Source organism: Homo sapiens, chromosome 10 (assembly GCF_000001405.40).
Source record: "Homo sapiens chromosome 10, GRCh38.p14 Primary Assembly".
Lineage (NCBI taxonomy): Eukaryota > Metazoa > Chordata > Mammalia > Primates > Hominidae > Homo > Homo sapiens.
Window position 1 is genome coordinate 26,962,442 of NC_000010.11, and position 19,273 is coordinate 26,981,714.

The 19,273-nt window shown below is 41.8% G+C and overlaps 1 protein-coding gene across 5 annotated transcripts in view, besides 1 other annotated feature; it reads right to left on the reverse strand.

The window, feature by feature from the left end:
* ANKRD26 (ankyrin repeat domain containing 26) overlaps positions 1 to 19,273 on the reverse strand; it is a 152,913-nt gene that overhangs the window by 14,860 nt on the left and 118,780 nt on the right. For 3 of the 5 annotated variants that reach the window (XM_017015929.2, XM_047424821.1, XM_017015928.2), the window contains 5 exons: positions 18,135 to 18,398; positions 13,525 to 13,601; positions 7,052 to 7,212; positions 6,494 to 6,609; positions 4,238 to 4,440 (listed from right to left, as the gene is read on the reverse strand). In XM_017015929.2, coding sequence (XP_016871418.1) covers positions 18,145 to 18,398 — 254 coding nt within the window. In that variant the 3' untranslated portion in view covers positions 4,238 to 4,440; positions 6,494 to 6,609; positions 7,052 to 7,212; positions 13,525 to 13,601; positions 18,135 to 18,144. Of the gene's footprint in view, positions 1 to 4,237; positions 4,441 to 6,493; positions 6,610 to 7,051; positions 7,213 to 10,940; positions 13,602 to 18,134; positions 18,399 to 19,273 lie in introns of those variants that run through there. The other 2 variants (XM_047424822.1, XM_047424825.1) reach the window with 2 other exon arrangements.
* Positions 8,765 to 8,874: an enhancer, noted in NCBI's record as "active region_3178". NCBI's record gives its function as "activates an Ori minimal core promoter by ATAC-STARR-seq in GM12878 lymphoblastoid cells {active_cell/tissue: GM12878}" and the evidence as "EXISTENCE:reporter gene assay evidence [ECO:0000049][PMID:35858748]".

The following is a 19,273-nucleotide window of genomic DNA, read 5'->3' on the forward strand; positions in this document are numbered from 1 at the left end:
GCGGGTGCCTGTAATCCCAGCTACTCGGTAGGCTGAGGCAGGAGAATCACTTGAACCCGGGAGGCAGAGGTTGCAGTGAGCCGAGATCACGCCATTGCACTCTAGCCTGGGCGACAGGAGTGAAACTGTCTTAAATCAATCAATTAATAAATAAATATTAGCCAGGCATGGTGGCACACAACCATAGTCCCAGGTACTTAGGAGGCTGAGGCAGGAGCATTGCTTGAGGCCAGGAGTTCAAGGTTGCAGTGAGCTGTGATCATGCCACTGCACTCCAGCCTGAGTGACAGAGCAAAATCCTGTCTCTAAAAAAACAAAACAAACAAAAAAGCTGTGTATGGAACAACAACAACAGATAAATCGCTTGGCTGGAGCAGTTTACATGAGGAAGATATGGGAGAAGTTAGGGAGGAGGTTTGCATCTGTGTTCCATGCACTCGGTCTTTAATAGCAATAATAACAGCAACAACAGCTCATATATCATGCTTACTACATTCTGGGCACTTTTCTAGGCACCTTTCAGTATTAACTTATTTAACTCTTGCTGCAACCCTACTCGGTATACACTATTATTGTCATCCCCATTTTACTGAGCACAAAACTGAGGCATAGAAAGGTTAAGTTGTTTGTCCAAGATCACAAAGGAAAAAGGTGACAGAGTTCAGAATAATGATTATAATCAGCTCATTTCCAGATGGTTCTTTACTCCAACGGCCACCTCTCCTCCCCACTTTGCCTCATTCTGTCTCAGGATGCCTGTCTTTGTGCATGTTGTTCCATTTCCTAATAAGCCTTTATTCTTTTCACATCACCCACAATCTATTGCTTCTCCAAATTTTACTTAACCTGAAAAACTCAATTCCTGCAAACTGACCTAGGCAACACTCCAGGTCTAACCTTGAATTTGCCACACTGTACTAGAGCCACAAATTTCCTTGAATGCTCCCCCTACCAGACTGTAAATGTGAATCTGCTCTGGCACAGTCTTGTAAAATGCAGTGTCTGGGGGAGCACCTGAGACTCTGTATTCTGACGAACACCTAGTGAAGCTGATGATGCTACCATGCTGCCCATTCCTGGATAGCACATTGAATAGCAAGGCTGTGCAGAGTAAGTACAGGATCTTGATTAAGTTAGTGCACTGCCCTGCAACCAGTCCATTCATTCCCCAGGATCCACAGGGGATTGGTTCCAGGAATCCCAGGATACCAAAATCCGCGGTCCCTGATATAACAGGGTATAGCGGTCTCAGTTCAAGTCCCTAATATAACAGGGCATAGTGTTTGCATATAACCTACACACACCCTTTCAAATACTTTCAATCATCTCTATATTACTTATAATACCTAATACAATGTATTTACATTGTAGTTACCTTGTAGTTTAACAGTTGTTAAACTCTATTGGTTTTGTTTGTGTTATTTTTATTGGTTTTTGTTTGTTTGTTTGGATGGTTGGTTGGTTTTTTTTTTTTTTTTTTTTTTTTTTGAGACAGGATCTTTTTGAGACACCCAGGCTGGAGTGCAGTGATGCGTTCTCGGCTTACTGCAACCTCTGTCTTGCAGGCTCAAGAGATTCTCTTGCCTCAGCCTCCCAAGTGTAGCTGGGATTACAGGCGCACCACCACACTGGCTAATTTTTGTATTTTAGTACAGACAGGTTTCATCATATTGGCCAGGCTGGTCTCAAACTCCTAACATCAAATGGTCCACCTGCCTCAACCTCCCAAAGGGCTGGGATTACAGGCATGAGGCACCATGCCTGGCCTGTTGTATTGTGTAAAAAATATTTTCCATTAAGGTTAGTTGAATCCATGGATGAAGAAGCCATGGGTACAGAAAGCTGCCTGTAGCTGATCAGAGAACCACTCCAGACTGATTTTTAAGTTGACTGACCTTCCTTAGAGGTTTCAGCAGGACAACACCACACCCTTCTCCACATCCATAGCCACCTACCCTTTTAGAGAAAAGTTTACTCATCCCATCTGGAGATATCATTTTGGCTTTGCTCAACATGACATTAAACGAAGGGTCTAACATGCAGCTCACTCCACCACAGAGAGCTGTTTCACAGTCTCCTGCAACCAAGCAACAAATAGCAAACCCAGTGAGAAGAAATAGTGTTTGATTCATATACACAGTGGCTTCCCATCTCATCAGAGATTACCTCTCTTGGGAGGTAAACACTAAGGGTCCCCTTCTCATGGAATATAATGTGAATGGGGTCCCCTGAGGTTGTATAGTGTAGAGATACAGGACTGGAAAAATAACAGAACTGAGAATTTAGAGATTTGGAGTCTGGTCTTAGCTCTGTCACCATTTAGGGGTGACATTTAAGGATGGATATTAATCAAGTCATTTAATCTTACTGGACTCATTTCTTGGCACCATAACACAGATGGGTTAAACCAGAGATCTCTAATATTATTAATATCTCTAGCTCAAATATACAAATCTGAGATAAACTTTGATAGTGAGCTTTCTTCATTTAGTTTAAAGAATCTTGCAAAAGGGCCAGGCGTGGTGGCTCACACCTGTAATCCCAGCAGAGCAGCTGTCAGTGCAATACTTTCAACAGCCTTGTCTTTTGCCAATTGAAAAGCTTGGGTCAGGGACAAGGTAATTTATAGATTCAATGCCATCCCCATCAAGCTACCAATGACTTTCTTCACAGAATTGGAAAAAAACTAATTTAAAGTTCATATGGAACCAAAAAAGAGCCCTCATTGCCAAGTCAATCCTAAGCCAAAAGAACAAAGCTGGAGGCATCACGCTACCTGACTTCAAACTATACTACAAGCCTACAGTAACCAAAACAGCATGGTACTGGTACCAAAACAGAGATATAGACCAATGGAACAGAACAGAGCCCTCAGAAATAATGCCATATATCTACAACTATCTGATCTTTGACAAACCTGACAAAAACAAGAAATGGGGAAAGGATTCCATATTTAATAAATGGTGCTGGGAAAACTGGCTAGCCATATGCAGAAAACAGAAACTGGACCCCTTCCTTACACCTTATACAAAAATTAACTCAAGATGGATTAAAGACTTAAATGTAAAACCCAAAACCATGGAAACCCTAGAAGAAAACCTAGGCAATACCATTCAGGACATAGGCATGGGCAAAAATTCATGACAAAAATGCCCAAAGCAATGGCAACAAAAGCCAAAATTGACAAATGGGACCTAATTAAACTAAAGAGCTTCTGCACAGCAAAAGAAACTATCATCAAAGTGAACAGGCAACCTACAGAATGGGAGAAAATTTTTGTAATCTACCCATCTGACAAAGGTCTAATATCCAGAATTTACAAGGAACTTAAACATATTTACAAGGAAAAGACAAACAACCTCATCAAAAAGTGGGCAAAGGATATGAACAGACAATTCTTAAAAGAAGATATTTATGCAGCCAAGAAACATATGAAAAAAAAACTCAACATCACTGACCATCAGAGAAATCCAAATCCAAATCACAATGAGATACCATCTCATGCCAGTCAGAATGGTGATTATTAAAAGTCAGGAAACAATAGATGCTGGTGAGGCTGTGGAGAAACAGGAAAACTTTTACACTGTTGGTGGGAATGTAAATTAGTTCAACCATTGTGGAAAACAGTATGGCGATTCCTCAAGGACATAGAACCAGAAATACCATTTGACCCAGCAATCCCCTTTCTGGGTATATATCCAAAGGGCTATAAGTCATTCTACTATAAAGACACATGCACACGTATGTTTACTGCAGCACTATTTACAATAGCAAAGACATGGAACCAACCCAAATGCCCTCAATGCTACAAAGGATAAAGAAAATGTGGTACATATACACCATGGAATACTATGCAGCCATAAAAAGGAATGAGATCATGTCCTTTGCAGGGACATGGATGAAGCGGGAAGCCATTATTTTCAGCAAACTAACACAGGAACAGAAAGCCAAACACTGCATGTTCTCACTTATAAGTGGGAGTTGAACATTGAGAACACATGGATACAGGGAGGGAAACAACACACACCAGGGCCTGTTGACAGGTAGGGGGTGAGGGGAGGGAACTTAGAGGATGGGTCAATAGGTGCAGCAAACCACCATGGCACACGTATACCTATGTAACAAACTTGCACGTTCTGCACATGTATCCCAATTTTTTTAAGAAGAAATAAAGAAAAAAATTGTTCAATTTTTTGGTAATCATGCCTCATGTCTTGGTTACCTAACTTCAGCATACCTTGTTTAATTGCAAGGAAGGCGTAGTACAGTGCAACAAAAGATGATGAGCATGCAGAATCTATAGCAAAAGAGGGGCCAGTTAGGTTAAACACATAAGAAATCCTGTTAGCAGCTATGCTCATTGCAGATCCAGTGGCATTACGGTGGTTTGCATTCTTGGAGTTCTACGGGACATAAATTCATAGTCTTGATTCATAATACCTATAAAAAATCAAAAAGATTTTCAGTGAGTCTCTTACTAAAAGGAAAAAAAAGCTTTCTTGCTTTTTTACTTACCATGTAGATTTAAAAACATATTAAGATATCCATCTCGTCTCTTTCATTTACATTGGCCACGACCACTAATCATAATAAAAGAATGTAAAACCCGATGACGTGTGAGTATCCTTTACTTCTGGGAGTAAGTAAGTTTTTGTTAAATTTCATATTTTTATGACAAGTGATATAACATAGACATTCTTCTTACAACAAAATAACATTTGCCATCTCTAAAAGCACTTGTCAGTTTTGCAAAATGCTTTCGTAGACATTTCACCATCCGAGTTCACATCCTCCCATAGCTAAAGGACAGATAGATAGATATTTTTAGCATAATCTTAGAACCCATGTAAATTGAAGCCCAGAAAAGCTAAAGAAAGTCATTTAAGGTCATTTAATTTTATAAAAGAGATGAGCCAGGATGCTAGTTAAATGCTTCAGATTCAGCACACTGAAATATATTCACTTCCCTTAAAGGCTGAGCTGTCACATCACTTCAGACCACAATCTTTTTTTCTTCCTTTCTGCCTCTACCTGGGAAATCTCATTCATTCCCACGGCTTCAGTTACCATCTAGTTCTGATGACACTCAATTATCTCTCTAGCCCAATCTCTCCTACATTCCAAAAACATGTTTCTAAATCATACTCCACATCTCTCCTCCAATGGTCTACAGACACCTAAGATTCAACCACCTTACCAAGGTTGATCCACAAGAATCTCAGACTCAACGGATTCAAAACAGAATTCAACTTCTTTCCACTTCCTCAAACCCAAACTTGTACATCCTACCTATATTGTGAGTGCTTCCACCAAGCCACAAACCTCAGTGGAATCCTGGACTCCTTTCTACTCTTAATAACCTACATCTAATCATTTACCATGTACTGTCCATTGGGCCTTTATAAATTTCTCTTAAATCTGCAGACTCTTCTACCTTACTTCTGGACAGCATCCTCTCTTCCCTGAATTACTAAATTAGTCTCCAACTTGATGTTTCTGCCTCCAGCCTTGCCCCCTCCCTGCAACCCCTCAATCCGCATTCGACTCTGTGGCCAGTGTGATCTTTGAAGAATAGAAATCCAATCATGATCTCCTCTGGGTCACGCTTTTCTCCTGCTTTCCAACACTTCAGTGTCTTCCCACGGTCCTCAAGAAAGTCCAACTCCTTTATAGGTCTCCAAGTTTTCCACCACCAACCTCTCCAGACTTGTTTCCTCAAGAGATATTGTACTCTAGGACTGGCCATACCAAACTTTCCATTCCAGGAACTCAACCTGGGTTTTTTTACCTCCTCACCTCTGGAAAGACTATTCTTAAAATTCCCTATTTCTGGATGCTCTTCCTTTCATTCTCTCCCCACTTATTGGGTCACTTCTGGGCATCCTTTAGGTTTCAGCTTTGATGTTACTTCTTCCTGTGCAGCCTGCCCTCACTCACCAAGACTGAGGTTGGCACTCTCTTCCCTGTGGATTCCACAGCCCCTGTGCTCACCCTGAATGTGCTACTTGTCACTCATATAAAAATCATCTCCCTCCATGTAACTTCATGGTAACCTCGCTGTGATTCTCCCAGGTATAAATCTTCAGTAGGTACGGACAAATTAGCCCCAACACACATGAACCACATAAGCCTTCATATTCTAATCATGGTTTAATACCAAGACAGTTTCAGTTGAATTGTCTAGACACAGTGGAAAATATGAAGAAAGAAAGACTTAGTTGAGGAAACGTGGAGGCTGACTTTGATGAGTTTCTTGGTAACTTGATAAGGAGAAAATACTTAGGGCAGCCTTAAATTGAGAAGCTTGGTAAGCTTTAGTTAGTAGAATTTAGCTAGTGGCATTCCACCCTAAGTTGCTTTTTATTATAAAACAACTATTGCTGTAATACATTATTACTTTTATTAACAAAAATTAAATTTCACCAGTGCCTTATTTGAGGCTTAGAATAAAGGTTGAGAACAAGATAGGTCTGCAAATTTAAGTGCCCATTACCTAGAGGGTACCTGCCCTGGATCCGAAGTTAATTTCAAAAGACATCTGGGAGTAGGAAATCTCAGATTTCAATTGGCTCCAAGAAGTTCCTTAGGGATCCAGATCCCGTTTAGACTCTGGAATTCAGAAGCTCAAAGTTAGCCTAATATATACTCCTTGAGTCAATATATTTTCCTAATATATACTCCTTGAGTCATTGCGGTCTACACTGATCCACTAGGGTCAATGAAGTGCCCGGATCTCTGCAATCTATCAAGTTGTCTGATGTGTGGCTCCTATGGACCTATAGTCATTGACACTCATTCCAGGCTGTCAGGAAATATCTCTGTGTATAGAGGTTTTACTGGTCTTCCTGGAAACCCTGGGGAATACTGAGAAGAGAAATATGAGTGATAACTACACGGTTTTAGAAAGAGAAATGTTTTTGTGGCAAGGCTGGAGAGGAGGCAAATACTCAGTGATCATAATTGAAACCAGCCACACACATCAAAACCATAGCAAAGCTGGCCTGAGAATTGTTGTTTGATGGTTTTTGGTTTCTGTTCATTGCTCTCTCACCAATGAAGACTCCTGTCCTGGAACCAGCCACCTCCTTGGCAGGGACTCCAGCACTCTCCAGGGCTCCATAGGTGCATTCCAGAAGCAATTTCTGCTGAGGATCCAGACATTCAGCTTCCAAGTCACTAATTCCAAACAAGTTATTGTCAAATTCATTCAATCTACAAAGAACAAAATGGCATTAAATGGCCTCTGAAGAATACCTACTTAGATTAGTATTTATGCATTTTTTTTCTTCTGTAAAATGTGGTTGCCAAACTTTCAGATTATGTTGGCTCATCTCATGTAATCATTAGTTTCTGTTACCTTTTACTTTCTGTTTTTTTTTTTTTTTTAATTTTTATTTTTTTGAGATGGAGTCTCGCTCTGTTGCCTAGGTGGGACCAGGCTGGTGTGCCGTGATGCGATCTCGGCTCACTGCAACCTCTGCCTCCCAGGTTCAAGCGATCTTCCTGCCTCAGCCTCCTGAGTAGCTGGGATTACAGGTGCGTGCCACCATGCCCAGCTAATTTTGTATTTTAGTTTTGTCATGTTGGCCAGGCTGGTCTCAAACTCCTGACCTCAAGTGATCCTCCTGCCTCAGCCGCCCAAAGTGCTGGGATTACAGGTGTGAGCCACTTCGCCCGGCCCTAGTTTCTGTTAGCTGTTATTTTGTTTAATACTAGATAATTGTAAAGTACATCATAAACTAGGTGATTTCTTTGGGGCCCTGATAGAGTTTGGATATGTGTCCCACCCAAATCACATCTTGAATTATAATCTTCAGTATTGGAGGTGGGGCCTGGCGAAAGGTGATTGGATCATGGGGGTGGAATTCTCATGAGTGGTTTAGCATCACCCTCTTGATGCTGTCTTCACCATAGTGAGTGTTTTCTCGTGAGATCTAGATAGTGAGTGTCTTCTTGTGAGATCTAGCTAGTGAGTGACTTCTTGTGAGATCTAGCTGTTTGAAAATATGTGGCACCTCATGCTGTCTCTCAATACTGCTTTCCCCATGTGAGGTGCCTGCTCCCCCTTTGCCTTCCACTATGATTGGAAGCTTCGTGAGGTCCCCCAGAAGCCAATGCTACTATACTTCCCATACAGCCTGCAGAACCATGAGCCGATTAAACCTCTTTTAGGAATTACCCAGTCTCAGGTATTTCCTTATAGCAATGCAAGAATGAAATAATATAGGCCCACTCCTGCTCTCTTCTGTCTTACCAACAATACTGGGTATAGTTCAAATGGAATTACTGGATCAAGTATTAGATTAAAAGGTTCAAGGAATTTCCGTATACACTCTCGCCCGTTTATATCAGTTTCAATCAAATACGGAGCCAGCACATTTGCTTACTAAGAAATATAAGAAAGACAGTAAAAACAGGAGTTGCAGGTTGAGGAAAGAGGAAGTAAGGGGACATGATTATTTAGGTTTCTAGTTTGGATGACTACAAAAAATATAAGACAAATGAAGGCAAGAGAGACTTTGTAATAGGGCAATTTTAGGTCTACCCAGGATAGATACAGGAGTGGGGAACAGACTTGGGTGGAAAATGTAAAGAAATAGCATGTTGAGAAGAAATTAAAAAGTTAAAGTGCCCTACCAATAAATCACTAAAGAATTTCACTGGCTGGGTGCAGTGGCTCACACCTGTAATCCCAGCACTTTGGGAGGCCAAGGTGGATATCACTTGAGCTCAGGAGTTTGAGACCAACCTGGCCATCATGGCCAAACCCTGTCTCTACTAAAAATACAAAATTAGCCGAGCTTGGTGGTGTGCACCTCTCGTCTCAGCTACTCAGGAGGCTAAGGCAGGAGAATCACTTGAACCCAGGAGGCAGAGGTTACAGTGAGCCGAGATTGCTCCATTGCACTCCAGCCTTGGCAACAAAGTGAAACCTTGTCTCAAAAAAAGAGAGCCAGGCGTGGTGGCTCATGCCTGTAATCCCAGCACTTTGGGAGGCTGAGGTTGGCAGATCACCTGAGGTCAGGAGTTCGAGACCAGTCTGGCCAACATGGTAAAACCCCATCTCGACTAAAAATACAAAAATTAGCCAGGTGTGGTGGCACATGCCTGTAATCCCAGCTACTCAGGCAGGCTGAGGCAGGAGAATCGCTTGAACTCAGGAGGTGGAGGTTGCAGTGAGCCGAGACCACACCACTGCACTCCAGCCTAGGTGACAGAGTGTGACCATGTCTCAAAAAAAAAAAAAAAAAAGAAAACATAAAGAATTTCATTAACAGGATTTTAAATAAACTAACCAGATGAACTATTTTTGGAAATTCCAGCAATAATCTTACCTTTCAATAGAAGCAGCTCTTCCTGCCCAGCTTTTACCTGGCTTGGTGTCATCTGCATCATACCATCCTTCAATATTAAGCCTTTCTGGTAAAATCTCTACCGTGCAGTTTCTGCCTTCCATAAGCACTTGCCAGAAGTTGTCAATTCCCTCTCCTATTAGAAAATTATAGTCCAGTGGCCGGGCGCAGTGGCTCACGCCTGTAATCCCAGCACTTTGGGAGGCCAAGGTGGGCGGATCACAAAGTCAGGAGATCGAGACCATCCTGGCTAACACGGTGAAACCCCGTCTCTACTAAAAATACAAAAAATTAGCCAGGCGTGGTGGCGGGCGCCTGTAGTCCCAGCTACTCGGGAGGCTGAGGCAGGAGAATGGCGTGATCCCGGGAGGCGGAGCTTGCAGTGAGCCGAGATCGTGCCACTGCACTCCAGCCTGGGCGACAGAGCGAGACTCCGTCTCAAAAAAAAAAAAAAAAAGAAAATTATAGTCCAAAAAATTATTCACTCTGGTTGTAAAATAAATACACAGAAATCAAAACTTTTCCTAATTACTGTCGGTAATAAGTTAGGAATTATAATTCAGAAGTATACTCTCAAAATTCTAAAATGAAAAACCGAGGAATAAATGTACTAAGAAATGTGCAAGATTTATGTGAAGAAAAAAAACTAAAGCTAAAAATGGGCATGAAACAAGCCTTGAAGAAATTAAGAGATACAACCGCTTCTTGCTAGACTCGTTCAAGATACTGATTCTTACTTAGTAAAACAACTATAACCAACCATTTGTTCTTTTTTTAACTTGACAAAGTGATTCTTTTTTTTTTTTTTTTTTTGGAGACAGAGTCTCACTCTGTCGCCCAGGCTGGAGTGCAGTGGTGTGATCTTGGCTCACTGCAAGTTCCGCCTCCCAGGTTGACGCCATTCTCCTCCCTCAGCCTCCCGAGCAGCTGGGACTACAGGCGCCCGCCACCGTGCCCGGCTAATTTTTTGTATTTTTAGTAGAGACGGGGTTTCACCGTGTTAGCCAGGATGGTCTCGATCGCCTGACCTTGTGATCTGCCCGCCTCAGCCTCCCAAAGTTCTGGGATTACAGGCCTGAACCACCATACCCGGCTGAGGTTAAATATTTTTTCAAGCTATCTTAATGCTGGTAGGTAGTAGAGTTGGAATTCAAACAAAAAGTCTAGCTTCTGACTCCATGTTCTTAACTACCACTTGCCATACCATGCTCATATCCAGATTCCTGACCTCATTTTTTTTAAATGTTGCCTGTGTGCTTGTCAAGAATGTGTAGCCTTTCCTTGTTGAGTTCTGGCCTCGATATATACCTGTTAAAACAAATGTGTTCATTATGTTGTTCAGATTGCCTATATCTACTTTTTTGCATTTTAAAAAATTTCCTTTAGTTATTAATAATTGAGAAAAGTGTATTAAAATTCTATGAATTAATTTGTCACTTTCTTTACAAAACTCTATAAATGCTTGCTTTATCCATTTTGAGTCTATTTCATTAGGTATATATAAGTTTAGATTGTTACCTACCTAATAAATCAAATTCTTTGCAATCATTGTAGTTACCTACTTTTTCCCTAATGATGCTTTCTTTATTTCTTAAAGGTTGTCTGATTTTAATATAATTGTTATTTTGATTAATATTTGCTATTTGCCATATATATCTTTCCTTTTTTTTTTTACTTTTAATCTTTCTGTTTTTCTGGTTCAGGTGTATCTCCTTATGGCATAAGAGGCTGATTTTGTTTTATAATTTAACCTGATAATCTCTTTTTAAAATGGCAACTGTAGCCCATTCAATTTATTGTAATTATTAATATATTGAGATGTTTCCAATATTTTACTTTTGTTTTTTATTTGTCCTTTTTTTTTTTTTTTTTTTTGTGAGGCAGAGTCTCTTTCTGTCAACTAGGCTGGAGTGCAGTGGTGCAATTTTGGCTCACTGCAGCCTCTGCCTCCTGGGTTCAAGTGATTCTGCTGCCTTAGCCTCCTGAGTAGCTGGGACTGCAGGCACACACCACCACGCCTGGCTAATTTTTGTATTTTTTTTAGTAGAGACGGGGTTTCGCCATGTTGGCCAGGCTGGTCTCGAACTCTTGACCTCAGGTGATCCACCCACCTCGGCCTCCCAAAGTGCTGGAATTACAGGCGTGAGCCACTGTGCCTGGCTTTGTTCTTTTTTCTTTTTCATTTTCTCACCTGCTTCTAGGATTCATTGATGCTTCCTTAATATTTTCTCAAACCATTTTTATATTTCTATTGGTATGAATGTTACATACTCTATTCTACTCTTTTAGCAATTATCCTAAAATGATACCCTGAATACCTGAGTTAATAAGACCTAAATTGAATATATTAACCCCTTTCCTGAAAAATACTCACCACCCCTCTATACTTACATGCTATTGTTGCTCAATATTTTACATGTTCCTTTTTTAACGCCACAAATTAGACATCACATTATTATTTTTTACAATGTTCTTTTAGATTTACCTACATAATTACCAATGTTCTGGGTCATCATTCCTTTGCACATTCTAGACATTACTTCTGCATTTTTTTTTTTTTTTTTGAGATGGAGTCCCGCTCTGTTGCCCAGGCTGGAATGCAGTGGTGCAATCTCAGCTCACTGCAAGCTCTGCCTCCCGGGTTCACACCATTCTCCTGCCTCAGCCTCCAGAGTAGCTGGGACTACAGGCACCCGCCACCACGCCTGGCTAATTTTTTGTATTTTTAGTAGAGATTGGGTTTCACCGTGTTAGCCAGGATGGTCTTGATCTTCTGACCTCCTGATCTGCCTGCCTTGGCCTCCCAAAGTGCTGCGATTACAGGCGGGAGCCACCGTGCCCGGCCTACCTCTGCATGTTTATCCTCCTTCCTGAAATAGATTCTTTAGACATTACTTTAGTCCCTTGGTAATAAATGCTGCAGTTTTTGTTTATCTACAAATTGTCTTTATTTTATCTGCATTCATAGAAGGTACGCTCTCTGGAATACTTCTAGGTTGAGAATTCTTCGCTCTCAGCGTTCTGAAGATATCGTTCCACTTCCTTCTGGCTTCTATTGTTGCATTTAGAAAAGTGCTATCAGTTCATCGTTATTGTTCTTTGTGGGTGATCAGTCTTTTCTCTCTCACTATTATTAGAATCTCTTTTTCTTTGATATCTGCAGTTTTATTACAATATGTCTAGACTTGAATTTCCTATTTATCCTGTTTTATAGGGCCTCTTGTATCACTAGATTCTAATTGAAATAAACCAGGGGGTTGTGTTACAGGAGACTTGTCTTGAGTTATGCCTCCTCAGCTAGGGCATGGTTTTAACTAAAAGTGTATGTTAAATTAGGGGAATTGTTTGACTCTTTAACCAGAATGACTTCGCTAATACAATGACAGAAATTTCATGAGTTTCTGAGAATTGAATTTATGTCTACACACAGTTTCTTTTTTTATTACTTTTTAGAGGTAGAGTCTCTCTCTGTCACTCAGACTGAAGTATGGTGGTGTGATCATAGCTCACTGAAGCCTTGAACTCCTGGGCTCAAGCAATCCTCCCACCTCAGCCTCCTGAGTAGCTGGGACTGCAGGCATAAGCCACCTCGCCCAGCTAATTTTTGCTTTTTTTTTTTTTTTTTTGGTGTAGTTGAGGTCTCTCTATGTTGCCCAGGCTGGCCTCAAGCAGTCCTCTCATCTCAGCCTTGCAAAGTGCTGGGATAACAGGCATGAGCCACTGTGCCCTGCCCTCTGCACACAGTTTCTAAAGAGGAGCTCTACAGGCCTGGCATCGTGGCTCACACCTGTAATCCCAACACTTCGGGAGGCCAAGGCAGGTGGATCACCTGAGGTCAGGAGTTCGAGACCAGCCTGGCCAACATGGTGAAACCCCATCTCTAAAAAATATACAAAAAATAGTCAGGCATGTGGCAGACACCTCATAATTGCAGCTACTTAGGAGGCTGAGGCAGGAGAATTGCTTGAACCCAGGAGGCAGAGGTTGCAGTGAGCCCAGATTGCCCCACTGCACTCCAGTGTGGGTGACAGAGTGAGTATCCACCTTAAAATAAATAAATAAATAATAAATAAATAAATAAATAATAAATAAATGACAACTTACCACAAGGGTTGTTTTAGTAACGTAGGCATTACGTAGGATAAGATTATTGTTGCTTTATCACTCTTACCTCCTGGAAAATTGCATCCTATTCCCCCAATTGCAACCTCATCTTTTTTTTCCATGTTTGATTAATCTGATTGGCAGCTAAAAAAAATAAATAAAAGAACAAAAGATCAGGAAAATAAAATCTCTTTCTTCGATTAAGAAACCAATGGGGGCTTGGTTAAATTACTCAACTTATACATCACATTCTTGTTAGAACTAACAATTCCTCATCTTGCATTCTTTGCACCTCTTGTATCAGCATATCTTGTAATTTTTTTCTTTTTTTTTTGAGACAGAGTCTCATTTTGTCACCCAGGCTAGAGTGCAGTGGGGTGATCTCGGCTCACTGCAACCTCCACCTCCCAGGTTCAAGCGATTCTCCTGCCTCAGCCTCCGGAGTAGCTGGGATTACAGGTGCCCACCACCACGCCTGGCTAATTTTTGTATTTTTAGTAGAGATGGGGTTTTGCCATATTGGCCAGGCTGGTCTCGAACTCCTGACCTCAGGTGATCTGCCCGCCTCAGCCTCCCAAAGTGCTGGGATTACAGGCCTGAGCCACCGCATCCAACCATATCTTGTATGTTTCCAAGGATGTTTGCACAGCAAACATAGGAATAATGTCTTCCTCTAGGTCAGAGGATAGATTTGTTTGCTGTACAATGATAATGACTTTCTGGAAGGGAGGGCGGTTTGTTTGTAGCACTTCATATTTTGTAGCACTTCAATTTTTTTTTTATTGAGGTTTCTTAAGTTTAAGGCTTCTTAGCCGTCACACAAGCTCACTGCGTGTGCAAAGGACTTTCTCGTGGCACAGCAGCCAGGATGGGCTTCATGTGCATGTTCATTCTCCTTGGTCCCCCACACTCCTTCCAAGTCTCACTGCACAAAACAGAGCAGCCAGATGGAAGGTGCACCTGCCATGTGTTGGTCACAGCCAAGGAACCTCACACGTAAGAAATCCACTATTTTCAGAGGACTACGAACACACCTGCCCATCACAGCATCCGTGATAATGCGGCAGGCTCACCTTTAGACGATGAGTAGGGAAAGCTCAGTTCCTTCAGTGTTTGGCAGTTTGGCATTTATCAAACCGTCCCCACCCCCGGAAACTTCGATGCTTCAAGCAATAGATTTAGAAATTTGCTTAATACCTATTCTGTTATTATAACCTGAGTTAATAATACTTCCCATTTGAAGGTATACTTCAAATTATTTATAAATAGCCATTGCTTGCTTACCCAGGACCGGAACTTTTTGTGCATCCCAAAGAAAACAGATCCCATTTCTTTACTACCCGTGTATTCCCTAGGAGTAAAGTGGGTCAAATGGAGAAAAGGTCAGGTGAATGTACATCTTTATCTACATGTCTAAAATTGTATTAAAGTCTCAAAAAAGTGTTTGGAGCCAACTGGTGGATTATAACTTTCATCTATTTGAATCGAAATGAGTTCAAGTCATGGAGCCAGGGATAAACCTTTTTATATCGGCTTCTCAGGGATTTGTGGGCCACAGACTCAGAAGATATAATATTTTCTCTTTTCTTCAGAGCATAATGATATTTTGTTACATTTTGTAGCATACACACACAAAGGGATAAAATACAGATAAAAATATGCATTTTGCACAGGCAAAAGGCACTGTACTAATGCACGTTTATAATGCATCTCTTACAACTCAGGGATGTAAACTAAGGATTGATTGCCTTGTATACAATGGTAGGCTAAATTGAGACAGAGACACAAGTCCATTTTGGTCCTCTCATTAAGCACCTGATTTAATACAGGATTCACTTCAGCCAAGGCAGGTGCATTACTTTTTCCAGCTGCCTGCAGAAGGCCCTGACAAACTATACCTTCAGGGCAAAGGAGAAAGCCCGCTACTGCCCTGCAGAATGTGCCCTGCCCTACTTCTGAACGCCCTAACACTAATCCCATGTTGCATAATCAGATATTATGGCTACTTGAGAGGAGACCAAAAACAAAACAAAACAAACAACAACAACAAAAAAAACAGGCTCCCAAATTCCCCAGGAATAAAGCTTTGAATGCTTCTTTTGACTTTGCAAAGCTGTCTCTACAGTTCTATGCATGCCTGAATAAGACCTGTAATTATTTTAGCAACCATCCTTTCTCTACACTGCTGCCTTGTCATGATCGCAAACCATTCTGAGCAATTAAACCTAGAATAATTTTGCAAAGGTAAACGAGCATCTAAAGTGTTTGGAGGCAGGGTGCAGTGGCTCATGTCTGTAATCCCAGCACTTTGGGAGGCCGAGGTGGGTGGATCACCTGACGTCAGGAGTGATCCACCCACCTGCCTGGCCAACATGGTGAAACCCTGTCTCTAGTAAAAAATACAAAAATTAGTCAGGCATGGTGGCACGTGCCTGTAGTGCCAGCTACTGGGGAGGCTGAGCTAGGAGAATCGTTTGAACCCGGGAGGCAGAGGTTGCAGTGAGCCAAGATCATGCCACTGCACTGCAGCCTAGGTGACAGAGTGAGACCCTATCTCAAAAAATAATAATAAAATAAAATAAAATGTTTGGCTTATAGAAATTTGCTGTGGCCCATGTTTTGAGTTGCTGGTCATTATTCAATCTGGTCATAACTTTCTGGTATCTCCCAATTACAAGCCCCAGCCAAGAGGTGCATCCTCCCTCCTACTTGCAGAATCTGAAAATCATGGCCTGTTTCATCCTCTGCCTGGTCCTGTCTGGTATCCCTGGGATCCACGCCCTGATGGAAATGTAATGCTCTGGCCCCCTGGGCATGTATGCGCAAGCCACATGCACAGACTCTACTTATGAACAGCAACACAGTTACAATGCGGCTGCAACACAGTAATCACCGTTGGACAGAGATAAACATTTTATATCTGCTTGTCAGAGTTCTAGATTCCATTTAAGTGGATTCATAAGTGTTGAGGCCTTAGGGATATAAACTGATAACATACCCTCCTGTTTCAGTCCTACACCAACTTAGAAATAAAACCAAAAGGGCCGGGCGCGATGGCTCAAGCCTGTAATCCCAGCACTTTGGGAGGCCGAGGCGGGCGGATCACGAGGTCAGTAGATCGAGACCATCTTGCCTAACACAGTGAAACCCCATCTCTACTAAAAATACAAAAAATTAGCCAGCATGGTGGCAGCCCCTGTAGTCCCAGCTACTCCGGAGGCTGAGGCAGGAGAATGGTGTGAACCCGGGAGGCGGAGCTTGCAGTGAGCCGAGATCGCGCCACTGCACTCCAGCCAGGCGACAGAGCGAGACTCCATCTCAAAAAGAAAAGAAAAAGAAATAAAACCAAAAGGTCACATCAATATCCAAAGATGCTATTCCTGGTGAAGGATATCAAGCCAAATGTGACTTGATGCCTTGACCAAAAAAGACTTTTCTAGTATTTTCTCCTAGTCTTGACTCTGGAAACTGAACAAAGAGAAGGCTGGTCCACAAAACAGACACTTACCCAGCATATTAGGAACACATGGGACTGACTGACTGTTGTATTTAGGGCCCTTGATTGAGGGGGTGCTAAACCTGACAAAACGGTAAGGTATAGGTTTGGATTTAAAGCATGAGATAGTTTTCTTAGACACACCCATCATGCTAGTCCTTTTATTACTCTGAGGAACATGGTTTCTAAAGCAGGTGGGATTTATGACAGATATAGTTGCTCCTATGTCAAGTAAGGCAATGGAGAGCTCACGTTATGATTATATTAATCTTTCCCAATTTGTCAAGGTAGAATACTGGGAGAGGTGAAACCCTTTAACTTCCTCAGAGCACCCCTAGTCTTCCTGAGTTGTATCCTCCTGCTGTGGCTTCCACTTCCACCTAAAGCAGTCCTGTTTAAGGTGTCTTGGTCTTTTACAATAGTAACAGGCTGAGGGAAGAGTCCTCAGACCGAGAGGGCTTTTCATTATTCTGAGGCTAACAGGTTTGAGAAGTTAATTGCTTTAACTATAAATGCATAACTCTGGCAGTCTTTTGTTTTTTTTTTCCTTTATCATAGCACAGGATAATTGGTCAGCTAAGTTAACTAGTTCCTTAGTTCTGACCATGGCCCAATTTGTTATGTGGTGTTTTACAAGAGTGGCTAAATCATCATCTGGTCTGTTTTGAAAGTTTGCATTTAATAAGCGCCATTTTTATTGTTCTCAAGGCAATCAGCTGACATCCCATAATATTGTCTCAAAGTTTTATCAAAACATGAAAAATAATCTCAAACTAATTCCTTTGGGTTCTGGTGGCATTGCTGGATTTTATTCCAATCCACAAACCTTTGGAATGCTGAAGGAATTATAATTAACAGAGCAGTGGCTCATGCCTTGGCATCTTTGAGCCTGTCTTCTGAACTTTTGGGGACTTGTTGTCATCCTATTGGACCTTTGGAAATTGACTCTGCTAAATGGTCTGACCACTGTGCTTTTTCCAGCCATTCCTTAGCTTTAGCATCCAAAACCAACATGTGGAACAGCTGGTAAGGGTCTGAATGACACGGGCCATATGACGAGTGACCTGACAATGAGCTCAAATTCTTGGGCAAATCTTTATGGGAGTCAGGAAATTTTTTAACTTTGCCTCCTAGCTCAGCCTTTGACCAGGTTTGAAAGACCATCACTGGGGTTTCCCTACCTGTTACTGGTCATTCCCTATATGGTGTGATCATGAGAGATGTTCCTACAGGTTCCCCCTTTTCCACTTCTTCCAGATGAAAGGCTGCCAGGGAGACTGTTGTGAAATCATCAGGAGACGGAGTTGTAGAAGTAGACCACCCTGTTGCCTTCTGTTGAGTGAGTAGCAGACAAGGAGAGGAAGATGGTAGGCTAGAGCATGCAGGCAGAGGAAACAGATCTGGTCCAGGAAGTTCAGAGAGGTCGGAGTAAGCTGGGGATGTACCTGGAGGTGGGGGAAGAACCAAGGGGGATGTAAGCAATTCTGAAGATTTCTTTAAGAGAGATAAAGCACTAGAGAGTTATCAGTTAGTATCTCTAAGTTGTTTGTTGGCCTCCTGTAAGGAGGTGAGGCAGTCTTCCCCCTTTTTGCTACCTCTCTAGGTACCACTGAAAGTAGCTCTCCCATTCTGGCTGTTGAGTTTTTGTGCATGCATTTTCCATCCTAGTTCCCAGGTACACTAATTTGGGCATCTCAGATGATCCCCATCTAGGCCACTGTTAAGTTAGAACCTCTGTGGTTATAATGGGCCACTGTCACAGGTATTGACTATCTGGGGCTGATGTTGCATGGGTGGTAAAAAATACTTACCAAAATGGTTGCAGATTTTTAAAAGGCAGATTTATTAGACAAAGTAGGGAAATGTGTTTCAAAAAAGCAACAGGCAAGTCAGCAAAAGAGGAGCTAACTGCAAGGAGACAAAGGCATCCTGAGGATTTTATAGGATGGTCTTTGTGCTGTGTGCTGAAGAGGGCTGTGTGCAATACTGATAACAGCAAGGTTGCAGTGAGCTAACTTACGTGTTCTTTTTGATTAGTTAAGATGTCTGGTGACAGCTGGGTGCAGGAAGATTGTGACTTATTTGCGCAGTAGGGCTGTGTGTCCTGGACCACGAAAAAAAGGCAGATTTATGGCTTATTTGGTTTTTGTTCTTGCTTTCTCCTGCTCCCACCAGCCTGACTTCTTATCCCTAATTAGAACTCAACATCCACTTGACTAAATATTTGAATGATTTACCATAAGTATTTTGCATATACCCAGCGGGAGTTTCTAAGGGTAGAACTTCATGTTCTGCAGCTGCAGAGGCTTAAGCCAACTTA